Source organism: Homo sapiens, chromosome 20, assembly GCF_000001405.40.
Source record: "Homo sapiens chromosome 20, GRCh38.p14 Primary Assembly".
Taxonomy (NCBI): Eukaryota; Metazoa; Chordata; class Mammalia; order Primates; family Hominidae; genus Homo; species Homo sapiens.
This window is the reverse complement of record NC_000020.11, coordinates 59,570,315-59,582,829: the sequence shown is the minus strand read 5'-3', so window position 1 is coordinate 59,582,829 and position 12,515 is coordinate 59,570,315. Positions and strand designations below refer to the sequence as shown.

The following is a 12,515-nucleotide window of genomic DNA, read 5'->3' as shown; positions in this document are numbered from 1 at the left end:
AGCCAGCGGAGGATCGGGTTCCAGATCAGATCGACGGCGCTCACAAACCACTCGGAAACACACGAACGACCCCCCTGGAAAAAGAGGGCAAAAAGTAAATGAAGAGGCAACGCTCAGAGAGTGAAATCCAAATGGCCAAGTCACATAAGAAAAACTCTCAAGCAATCAAGGCAATGCAAATTGAACAATGTAATTTTCACTTCTCTGGAGGATTGGCAAAATTTCAGAATGTGAATGTATCAAGTGCTGGCGAGAGAAACGGGTACCTCCGACACTGCTGTTGGGAGTGACACAGCCACTTTGGGAAACAGTCTGGCAATAGCAGCTTAAATTTAAAATGCACTCATCCTAAGCCCCAGGAGTTCCATTCTTCGGATGTGCCTTATAGAGAAACACTTGTACAGACGTGCTCAGTGCCTCACGCAGGTTGTCCCCTGCAGCACAGCCTGTGACAGGATCTGAGAGGGACCTCCATGGCCATCGGTAGCAGAAAGGCGAAAACAGCCATGGAATATTCTAAAGCAATTAGACAGAACCTATGAAGCCAGATAAATCTCCAAGATACACTGCAGAGTGAAAACAGCTTCACAGCGAGAAGTGCTGTGTGATGCCATTTCTTTAAAAAGCACATGCTTATGTCAAGAAAGTTTGGTGGGAAATGCCATGAATGGTAACAGTGGCTTCCCTGGGGAAGGGCGAAAGGTGGCGGGCGGGGGGAGGATTCATGTTCCAGAGGGATTTGAGCCTTATTTGCAATGTTTTCAATTGCTCACTTGGAGGATGTATTCATGACATACTAGTGTAATTAAATATATACGTGTATGTGTTTGAGTGAGTAATTTTTTTTCCAGAAAAACTTATCCCCTGAGCTGGAGACCACATTATCCATTCATCCCATAAAATATTTATGGAGTCCCAACTACAGGCTAGGACTTTTTTTTTTTTTTTTGAGACGGAGTCTCGCTTTGTCACCCAGGCTGGAGTGCAGTGGAGCAATGTCGTCTCACTGCAAGCTCCGCCTACCGGGTTCACGCCTTTCTCCTGCCTCAGCCTCCCAAGTAGCTGGGACTACAGGCACCTGCCACCACTCCCAGCTAATTTTTTGCATTTTTAGTAGAGACGGGATTTCACCGTGTTAGCCAGGATGGTCTCGATCTCCTGACCTCGTGATCTGCTGGCCTCAGCCTCCCATAGTGTTTGGATTACAGGCGTGAGCCACCACGTCCAGCCTAGGCCATTTCTAAAGATTGGGGATCACTCCTTTCCCTTCAAACAAAAACGGAGCGATCAACTTAGTCATCAGCAAAGTTCACCAGCAGACAGCAGTCCTTAAAGTAATGGGGTGACAGCTGCGTGGGGATTTGGACTAAGTGGTGAGAAAAATGTGAGGCTTGGAGCAGGTGAAGGAGAAGCAGACCTGAGGGGCCACTGGCTGTGGGGAGGTGCTTGGCTCTCACAGGTGTGCCCTGAGCACCCTGGGGGGAAAGGAGAGAAACGAAGATGTGTAGCCAGGTCACACCTCTCCCAGGGCCTTCTCGAGCTGCCGGGACATCATGACTCTGCCTTTTGCCTCCAAGCACCCATTGGTCACAGGAAAGAAAACTGAAGGCTGCAGTGTGATTTGCAATGCACGGCAGGTTTTGCAGGTCAGGTGGGCACAGCTGTGGGGTTCTTGCACTGCCATGCTGGCGTTTGTGACCCCCAGTACCCATGTCCTTCTGCGATCCTCCTGATTTCCTACTGGAAGTCTCAGGCTGGCTATGGCGGGGATGCCAGCTCCATTTCTGGACCGGAGGAGACAGCTAGGTCTCAGCCGTCCAGTCCTCCCCACTCCCTCACTCCAGTAAGTGGTTCAAGGGCCAGCTATATGACCCACCCTGAGTCTGGGACAGACAAGGAGAGGCTAGCTGGAGCTACAGACGCCCAGTTTCCTGAATTAACAGATGGCCCTTTTGCTTCTGTGTGTCTAGTCCATTTCAGTCACTTGCTACCAGAAAAGCCTGCTAAGTCCAGCTGGTTGTCATTAAGATTTCAAAAGAATTGGGCAACTCCAGACCCAATCTGGGTCTTCAGAGTTATAGCCTCCAGGGAGCCTTGCCCAGCCCCGACTCTGAGCTGAGCCAGGAAACAAGGCATTAAATTTCAAACTGTCTTTTGCAGCCCCTAAAGCCACAACTTTTAATGAGCATCAGCTGGGACATGTCATGATATCATTGATCACGCCTTTCCCTTCAAACAAAAATTTTAAAGGAAAAAAAAAAAACTCATTTAGTGCAGAAATAACCCACTACGAGTCAGCACTTCGAAATCAGACTTCGAAGTCTGGAAGAATGAGTGGTTAATTTGTTCCTAAATTAATGCAGCCCTGGCCCCAGAAATAGCACATTATCCCTTTAAGGGTGAGAGTTAAGATTCCCAAGCAAGCTCCGGGAAGTAGCCACACAAATCATGGAAGCTGAGCTTCAGGTGGCAGCTGGACAGATCCTCCTGGTTCCAAAAGGAATGAAGTCAAAGGGACCTTCTTGAGGTCTGGCATCACAGTGCCCAAAGAGTTGTGGGCACACAGCCTGGTTCTTCCTTGGGTGCCGGGACCCTTGCTCCAACCCAAAACTTGGCATTTGCACTGGGGTCCTATCTGACTCAACATTGAAATGCAACATTGAAACCAAGAAACCCAGCCACACTCTCTGCCTCAGCCCCCTCCCAAGTGACCTCCTTTAAGTGCCAGCCCCATTCTGATGAATCTCAGATTGGAGCCTCCAGAACAACCACCGCCCCAAGCTCCAGACTCAGACGTGCAATGGCCCAGTGTAAACAGCCCCTCCAAATCACCATGGTCAGCACGGAATGCGCGCTTCCTCTCCCAGACCTCCCCTCTCCCACGGAAAGTGAAGGAATGCACTGCAGAAGCCTCCGGCCAGTCTCCCTCCTCCCCGACCAAGCCTTCCACACCCCCATAAACAGCACCACCATCCACCCAGTGCTCAGACCCCAAACCTACAGGGCATCCTGGATTTGGGGTACCCAAGTCATGAGCAGGTCCTATCAGCCCCCAGTGCTTCCCACTTTCTCCGTCTCTGATGGACCCTCCTGTCCTCCAAGCAGCTGGCAACTCTGCTGCCATAGCCTCCAAATAAACCTGCGGCCACACAGCAGCCATGAGGAGCTTTCTCTCAGACACAGAGGGACATGCAATTCTTCAGCCTAGAACCTGCCATTGGCCTCGGGTTGCACATGTAGAACCCCTAGGGACTTCTGATGGAGGCCAAGGCCCATGGGCCACCTCCCCAAACTCAGCTCCCTCCAGTCCCCTAGCTGATGGGCTTCCAGCCTCAAGGACCCTCCTATTCCCCAGTGCCATCAAGTGAATTCTCACCTCAGGGCCTCCCTGCTCCCCGCAGCATCCCAGCATCTAGATCAGTGCCTGAAGCATTTTCAATGATGAATAATCATTTGCTGACCCACTGACAAAATATTCCGCTTTCTCCTTGGGGAAAGTGGGTCAGCAGTGGCTGAGCCCTGCCATCCATCCATCAAGGCCTAGACAGAGGCCGCAGAACTATTTTAAAAATGCCCAGCGACTGAGGAGCACAAGGAACAGGTGAGGAGTTGCGTAATTACTGCAGGCAGAACATGGGCTCCTGGTGGCCCTGAACACACTGCCAAGCTGCCGAAGGTTAGGACTGGGAACGCCCTTTCCCAAAATCCAACCCAGAATATGCCCCACTGTTCTTAGTACTCATGCACTGCCAAAAACAGGGGTGCTTTAGGGGAGGGCACTGACACTTGTGGGCACTTACTCTGTGCAGGCACTGGGGGAGGGGCTTCTGCCCCATTAGAGGGGAGCACCCTAGAGGGGCCTCATCTCCCTCTCCCGACTCCACCCTGGGAGCTCAGCACTGGGACTGGCGCTCAGTAGGGGCTCAATATTCCTGATGAGTGGATTCAGCTGCCCATCCTCTGTGCCTGAGCTCAGCTTCTGCCACGAGCTTCTCCTCCAAGGGCACCACAGAAGGCCTGGCAGATAGCGGGCTCTCAAGTGTCCCCCAAATCCCCATGTCCTCCTTTCTTGACTTTGTGACTCCATGTATCCCTGTATCTCAGGGTTTCCCAACCCCAGCACTAGCCTGTGGACTACACCATGACCGCCTCGTGGGGAAGGAGGGCTCCTGGCAGTGCGGGATGCTTAGCAGTGTCCCCGGCTTCTGCCCACTGGGTGCCAGTGGCGTTCCCCCAGGTGTGACAACCAGAAATGTCTTCAAGGGAAGGCAGGATCAACCCGTTTCGAGGCACTGAAAAGAACCACGGATGGATCTAAACCAGAGTTTCCTGGTGCTTTGGTTAAAAACACAGATTCTCCCAGGAGATTGCAAGGGGCAGGCCTGGGTGGGGCCCCTGGAACAATCTGTAATAAGTGCCCCCGGTATCCTCACCAAGGGCCAGTGCGGAAACACTGGCCTAGCTCTCCTCCACCCCACTCCGGGCTCTGCCTGCTGGACACCTGGTACTCATGCACCCATGGCCACTGAGCACAGGCAAAACTCTAGCCTTGTCACCAGGAGGCCTGAGGCCACTCCCCGTCCTCAACTCCTCTTCCCTGGCCCAGCTGGGGCCCTGGCCATTTTCTGGATTCCTCAGGCCCCTCTTCCTAGATCCCATCCCTTGAACTGCAGCTGGACCCTCTCCAGGGTCAGGTGTCTGCCCAGCAGGGGGCGAGGGGCCAGTCCCACGTGGGTGGAGGCCCATGGCCCTCCCTGGGGAAGAAGGGCGATCAAGCACAGAGCCCTCCCTTGGGTGGCCAGCGCTGTCCATACGATCCCAACTGCTGCCCCCAAGACACAGGTATCCCCCATTTCACAGATGCAGAAACTGAGGCGCAGCAAGGTCAAACGCCATGCGCACAGGCTCATACAGCGGGCAGAGGGGAATTCCAAACCCCAGACTGTCGACCCCAACGCCAGCGCTTCTGACCCTGCGGACACTGCCCTTGTTTAGGGAGAGACTCTGGTGACTTTGCTGCGAGGGGGAGGAGGGGGGCGGTAAGCCCGAGACCCGGGGCGCCCACCTCTGTGGCTGGGGGCGCAGCGGGCCTCCCGGCCACCCGCAACGGCCAAGGGCAAGGGATTCAGGAGGAGTCGTCCCCCAGCGCCTCGTGCCCGGCGGGCACCCCGGGCCCCACGTCCCGCGTCCCCTCCCCGCAGCGCGCGCTTACCTTGCGCAGGATCTCGGGCGGCGGCGGCAGCGTCCCGGGCCCCGAAGGCGCCCAGCAGCGAGCGCAGGGGCGCAGGACAGCGGGCGCGCCCCCCGCCACGGCCACGCATCCCGCCGGAGGGCCGCGGAGCGGAGCCGGGGCCGCGGGGAGGCGCCGGCGGGGCGGGACCGGGACCAGGGCCGGGGGCGGCGCCGCCACGCGAGGCCGGCCTCTCCGCCGGGCGGGGGCTCCGAGGGGCTCCGCTGCGACCTTGACCCGCCCGGAGCCGCAGCCTCGCCCGGGCGAGCGGGAGCGGGAGCGGAGACCTCAGCGCCGTGCCCGGGCCTTCCAGGGATGCCCTAGAAACGTTAAAGGGACAGCCGGGCGGGAGGTGTAGCCGCCGGTTCCCCGCGCTGTAAACAGGCAGCAGCGCTGGAGCCGCTGTGGGGCGGCGGGCGAGTCGCTTGGCCTCTCTGAGCCTCAGTGGTCTGGTGTGTAAAATGGGCTGGGGCTGAAGTGGGATGGGCCGAGACTGAGCCGGGCCTGGCGCTCCCTAAGTTGGAGACTCCTTGGCTGCCTTTAATGTAAGGGCGGTGGGAGGCACTGCTGCCTTTCGAATAAACCCCATATATTTACCTTTTTTGCTATGAAACAAAACATTCGTATTTAGCTTAATGAGTGCTGCCTGGGGGACACCTTTGTAACCACCAACCAGCTCCAGAACTAGAACTGTGCCGGCCCCGTCCTCTGACCCTCCCAGCGCCCTCTCACAAAACGCCCGTCCACCCACCAGCACCTGGGCCTGAAGGGGTTGGGGTGACTCTCCAGAGGCCTCAGCAGCCTCTACTGACTTTGGGGTTTTTGTAGCCACAGCCCTGCCCTTGAGGCAGGATCCTGGCCTGAGATGGACTCAGGGTCCCCATCAGCACCCACACAGCCACGTCCCCAGCAGAGTTCCGGGTAACCTTCCTCCTGACACTCAGGTCCTCAGAGCCCCAAAGGAACACCACTCCCCTCCTCCACCACTGAAGGCTTTCAAAGTGCACTCTGCTGAGGGACTAGGAACCCCCGTTCCATCCCCCAGCGGCTCCCCCAGCAGGTGCAATCAGTGGGCCACACAGCGGCCAGGGCAGTGCTGGGATTGGGATGTAGCCAGGCCTCCCAGCCACCTGCCTCCTCCCTGGCAGCCTGCCTGCTTCCCGCGTCTCCCGCCCAGACTTCTCAGCCTCATCTTCAGAACTGCTTAACGGTGGTAACAGTCGGCAGCCAGCACGTGGTGGCACTGCGCTGAGCATACATTCCCTGAACCTTTAGAAAACTCACTGAGGAGGGCGCTGTTACTGTGCCCACTTTATGGATGAGAAAATGCAAGCTCCATGAAAGATGAAACTGAGTCCACTGCTCCAATCCCCTCCTACTTCATCCTGTTTGCTCCTCCATCAGCTCCTGGAGAGAGGCACTATCATCATGCCCTCCTTTCTAGAGGAGGAAACTGAGGCTCAGAGAAGTGAAGTTACTTGCCTAGAAAGTGAGAAAGGTGCAGCGTCTGGATTCAACACCTGGCCAGTGTTGCGGTGCTTCCTAGCTCTGTGCCCAGCTCATTGGTTTGCCCTGGTGAACTCCTACCCAACCTTCAAGACCTGGCTTAAGTGTTTGCCTCTTTTCTGAAGACTTTAATCCTTCAGTCTCCCTGCCTGTCTTCCCCAGGCCTTTGGCTCTCCCTTCCGCAGGCCCCCTGCACTGGGTGCACACTCTGTTGGCCATACACTGCATCCCATTGAGATGATTTGTCCACCCATCTGCCCTGCCCCACACTGGGCTGGAATTTGAGAGGACAGGCATTGGTCCTGGTCACTCAGGGACCATGTGTTTTGCAGGCTTTGTCCCACTCTGCTGGGAATAGCATTTCCATTTCCTGCTGGAAGCCTCCTTCCCCACTCTGTGGACCCAGGGCCCCTCCCTAATTCCAGGGGAGGGCTCATGACCTAGTCCAACCAACCAGCATAGATCATCCACCTGACCTCAGGGGCTGGGCCAGAAAAGTTGGTTCACAGAGGCACACATTTGGGACTTTGCTGGACTGGGAGAGAGAAGCCCATGTTATCCACTAGTCCTGAGAAGGATGGTCTGAACGTCCAGGGCCATTACATGGCTCAGAATCAAAAGAACACAGAAGAGGGAGGAGCCTGGACAGGGAGGTATCAGGGGCTGCTGGCATTGTCCGTGTGAGCAGCTGGTTCCAGCTGTGCCCGAAGGCAGCCCTATGGAGGACTGGAATTTTCAGTCCCACCCTCCTTGCCATTTCCTTTTCTCCCTAGCCTTGGTGGGGAAGAGGTCACTGGAGGAAAGAGTTAGGAGACAGAAATGTTAGCATGAAGACAAATTCGAGGTGTGCTAGGAAAGGTCTCTCTTTCTGCCGGCCCTGCCGCCTGTCCACGGGCCAGAGCCTTCGTGGCCCCTGATCTGTTTGCACATGGATCTATTGGTGACCTACAGAATGGGGCTTCACATGGCAGCCCTCTCAAGTACACACTACCAAGGACGCTGACTAACCCCGTCTGAGGCCAGCAGACACTGTTGGCCTCCTTAGGTGTGGCCTGGGTTGGGCCTTTTGAACTCTGAGCAGGTTTCTTCAGAAGAGGATGCAGAGGGGAAGATGAAGCCTAATCATTCATCCTCACTAAACACTTCCGATGCGCCAGGACCTGTGCTAAACACTCCATCTGCTTTATCCCAGTTCATCTTCACAAAAATCTAAAGACAGCATTATTCATTATCCCTAAGAAAACTGAAGCTCTCAGAGGCTCCCCGAGGCCCTGCTGCTAATATTAGGACAAGCCAAGCTCCAGGCCTCGTAACTGGACTCCAGGACCTGTGCGCTTCACCAGAGCCACATCACCCCTGGGTGCTTCTAGGGCAGAGGACAGGCTGGCCAGGCCCAGCCCCTGCAAGGAATCCAGAAGGGCTGAAGGCCACCCCATCAGCTGCTCCCTTGGGCCCAGCAGGACCCTCAGGGCCAGCCCTGTGGGTAACATCCCTTCTTTGTGAGGACCCTCCAGGGTGTCCTGAATGTCCATGGGTTGGTCTGGGCCATGGGAACACAGACCAGCAGGAGTCCTGCTGAGAGGATCCCCCTCGGCTGTAGGGCTGAAGTCTAGGACACAGCAAGGGCCATGAGGGACAAGGGGTATTGGTCTTTCCTGCAGCCACGTGCAGTGGGGCATCCACTTGGCTAAGCCACCTAGCCCCACGTTTGAGCCCCACTCACTCCAGGGACTCTTTCAGTTCCAATGGGCTGAAATCCAAGTCCTTCTGGCTGGAGCAGAAAAGGTACCCCTTGGCCACTGGAGAGACCAGGAGGAGGGGTGGTGACAGACATGGCTGAATCCGAGAGTTCCACTACCAAAGCTTCAAGGGGCCACCTCCTTCCTTGGAGCTCCAGAGAAAGCACCAAGCCGAGTTTGCTTGGACCTCCTCACAGCACCTCTCCCCAACTCTGAACTGGTCCTCGTCACTAAGGGATGGGAACTACGGGTTAGCCAGGCTGGTGGCACGGAGGAGGATGGAAGTGGGGTAGGATCAGCTCACCTGAACCTCCTCTGCTGAGGCCTGGGGAGAGGAGGTTCTCCAAAAGCTGCTTTGGTGCAGCTGCCTAGAAAGGGGGAGAGCTTGGGGCAGAGCAGACACCAGGCTCTCCACGACACTGCGCTTCCAGGCCAGGCCAGCTCCTCATGCAGAGCCCGAGTGGGGGTAAATGGCCAGAATGACTGCGATGAGAGCTGCCTGGACAGGCACAGGGCCCCAGGCTCAAAAGGGCCCAGACTTGGCTTCCCGCCCTACCACCACCACCTTGCAGCTCTTCATAATTTTTGAATAAGGGAACTGTACTTTCATTTGCATTAGACCCCTGGCAAATTCCGTAGCAGGTCATGGCTGTGAGTGACCTCCCTGGACACACACCAACCCAACAGCAGTGACTTGCCAGGTTCACTGTATCTGTCTATGCTGGGAGTTTCTTCAGCATCCTTATGACCCGCAGGAACCAGCTAGGATACCTTCACAACGTTTTCCCTGCAGGCATGGAGTGAGGACTAGGGGTGATTTCCTGTAAGCCTATAAAACCCGGTTGCCCTGCAACTTGTGGACAAGTGAGACTTGAGTTCATGGAACCCAGTGTATGTATATATGATACAGACCTCTGTGTGTACAACATCACAGCTCGGAATGACCCAAAGCTTTCTCAGTGTTGGTTGGCAATGTACCTGAGCTCCACAGGGTCACTAGGCTGCCTCAAGGATCAGTAAGAGTGCTGCAATTGATTGGCAATGTCTGATAAGGGCAAGGGCCAGCAGAGTGGGGCATGGGTGCTACATAGTTACCAATCTTTCTGCTGTCTGGGAGGAAATGAGGACTCTGCTTCTAAGAGCTAGAACACTTAAAGAACATGTTGGGGTAAAGGCTGGCTATCACTGAGGGCAGAGACTGTGTGTAATCACCATTCAAAATCCCCAGTACCACACAGACTTCGGTTCATGGTAGATGCTCAATAAATAATTAATAAAGAAAGATCTAAAAGGCACCACAAAGATGAGGTTTTACCATAAAATGATGAAAATGGTTTGGAACAGGTAGAAGTAGTGGGCGCACAGCATTGTGAATGTCCTAAATGCCACTGAATTGTTCACTTTAAAAGGGCTAATTTGGTATTACACAAATATCACCTCAAATAATTATTTTTTTTTAAAAAAAAGGAAAGGGTGGCTTATGCCTATAACCCCAGCTGCTCAGGAGGCTTCAAGCTTCAACTCGCTTGAAGCCAGGAGTTCAAGACCAGTCTGGGCAACATAGCGAGACCTCATCTCTACAAAAAATTTAAAAAGTAGTTGGGTTTGGTGGCGCAAGGCTGTGGTCCCAGCTACTCAGGAGGATTGCTCGAGCCCAGGAGTTTGAGGCTGCAGTGAGCCATGACATGCCACTGCACTTCAGCCTGGGCAGCAGAGCAAAACCCCATCACTAAAAATCATAAACACATAATTAAAAAATAAACTAAAATAAAGGAAAGAAATCCTCCTTTTAAAAAAAGCCACTGTAAGTTACTCAGAGTGACTGGAATGATCCCATCTTCTTCATCATTATCATTCCAGTACAGTGCAGTACAGTCTTTTCTTTTATAATAAAAATCAATGACACGTTTGCCTTCTCTCCACACACACAAATTTTCCCTCCAAATCTTCCAGGGGCACTGACCCTAGAGGAGAAGACACTCAGCCCCTCTAAGCAGCCCCTGGGCTGCACCCCGGGGGCCCCAGGACGCAAGACACCCAGACCTGGGCCTGACCCCAGAAGAATTCTCCGTGAGCGGCCTGCATCCCCTCATCCCAGGCTCCATCCCGCATCCCTGCTCTTGTTCCTTTCTCCTTGCGTCATCCCCGTCTCTCTGGGTCCCCGAGGTCGCAGCTGCTGCTGAATTTTGTGAATCGCTCTAAACTGCCTTAAATCCTCTTTGAGTCACGTGGCAGATATCCAGGAGCGACGGCTGTTTTTTCTGGGGCAGGCGCTGTGGACTGTGGGCTGGGCTTGTCCTGGCAGCGTTTCCACCCTGCCTCAGGGACCCCTAACCCTGGGCTTCTCAGCATCTTGTAGGAGGGGACACAGGTCCAAGGTCCCCCGGGCTGTGGGAGACGCCTTGCAAGGCCAGACCCTCGGCGGAGCTCTGCCTCCAGCTGTAGGATTCTCAACCGCTCTCTCCTTCGTCAGCGTGCTGACTGAAGTTAGGAGTCTGAGCGGTCCACTTCCCCCTGGGAAGCCCGGGGTGGGTTTCTGGATCAGCTCTGCCGGCAGCACTGGGGAGAAGCGGGCAGAAACCTTGGGTATTTATTTCCTGGAATCTGCAACCCAGGGAGGATCCAGACGCCCTCTAGTGGCCACTAGGACGGGTGCAGGCGAGCCTGCCCAACTCTCCCCAATTCTGGTGGGTGGGAGGTGCCCCTGCTAGGGGTTCTCTGATGTGGGGGCTGTGGTCAAAGGAGCCTGCAGCGGAGGCATGCAGGTGCTGGATCCCTTTGAGCTTTCTAAAATTCATCCAGTTTTTCATTCTAGTCAACATGTGTCTATATTCTTTTCATACACATCACTTTCTCACCAAACAGTTAAGTAAAAATCAATGCTCTGGAAGATGCACGGTGTGTACCCAGGGGCTTCAAGGGCCACTTCCGAGCACCCCAGGGTACCCACCCTGCAGCATGGCCCAGAGCCTCCTGTGAAGAGCTATGGCCTGTGCCGGGCAGGACTCTGCTCTCCCCACTCCCTGGTCCTGTCCCAATTCCCCGTCCTTGCCCCGATGCTTCTCACTTCTCTGACAGTCACCTGCTGAATTCAGGTGTGGGTCTAAGCTGCTTTGAACCGTCTTTGACACATTGTGGGACTATCCATAAATTGTTAAAAACAAATCGTCAGCATGTAAAATGGTGCAGCTGCCTTGGGAAACAGTCTAGCAATTCCTCGAAAAGCTAAACATCAAGTTGCCATATGACCGAGCAATTCCACTTCCAGGTATGTACTCAAGAGAACTGGAAATATTTTTCCCCAGAAAAGCAAGTGCATGGCTGTTCATAGCAGCATTCACCATAATAGTCAAAAAGTGGAAGCAACTCAAATATCTGTCAGCTAATGAAAAAGTCAGGGGTAGTACCCTAGTCCCTCAGTACCCATGGGGGGTTGATTACAGAACACCCAGGGATACCAAAATCCACAGATGCTCAATTTCTTTATATGAAATAGTGTACTACTTGCTTATAAGCTACATACATCCTCTTGTATCCATTAAATCAGGGATATCCAATCTTTTGGCTTCCCTGGACCGCATTGGAAGAAGAATGGTCTTGGGCCATACACAAAATACACTAACGATATCTGATGAGCTAAAAAGAAATTGAAAAAAAAAACCTTTCATAATGTTTTAGGGAAGTTTATGAATTTGTGTTGGGCTGCATTCAAAGCTGTCCTGGGTCACATGTGGCCCACGGGCTGCCCTTTGGACAAGCTTGCTTTAAATCATCTCTGGATTACTTATAATACCTGATACAATGTAAATAGTCATTATGCTGTATTGTTTATAAAATAATGACAAGAAAAAAGAGTCTGTACATGTTCAGTACAGATACTCCATCCCTTTCTTTCAAAAATATTTTCAATCTGCAGTTGGTTGAATTCCACGGATGTGGAATCAGCAAATTTGGAGGGCCGGATGTATACCCATACAATGGAATATTATTTGACAATAAAAAGGAATGATGTACTGATCCACACTACAACACAGATAAAC

General features: G+C 53.8%; 1 protein-coding gene across 3 annotated transcripts in view, besides 1 other annotated feature; it reads right to left on the bottom strand.

The window, feature by feature from the left end:
• PHACTR3 (phosphatase and actin regulator 3) overlaps positions 1–5,321 on the bottom strand; it is a 270,203-nt gene extending 264,882 nt beyond the window's left edge. For 2 of the 3 annotated variants that reach the window (NM_001199505.1, XM_017027628.2), the window contains exon 1: positions 5,213–5,321. In NM_001199505.1, the coding sequence (NP_001186434.1) occupies positions 5,213–5,321 (109 nt within the window). Of the gene's footprint in view, positions 1–3,376; positions 3,720–5,212 lie in introns of those variants that run through there. The other variant, XM_017027626.3, reaches the window with a different exon arrangement.
• Positions 10,199–10,740: an enhancer, noted in NCBI's record as "H3K4me1 hESC enhancer chr20:58147145-58147686 (GRCh37/hg19 assembly coordinates)". NCBI's record gives its function as "activates a minimal SCP1, AML or CMV promoter by ChIP-STARR-seq in naive H9 embryonic stem cells {active_cell/tissue: H9 hESC(naive)}" and the evidence as "EXISTENCE:reporter gene assay evidence [ECO:0000049][PMID:30033119]".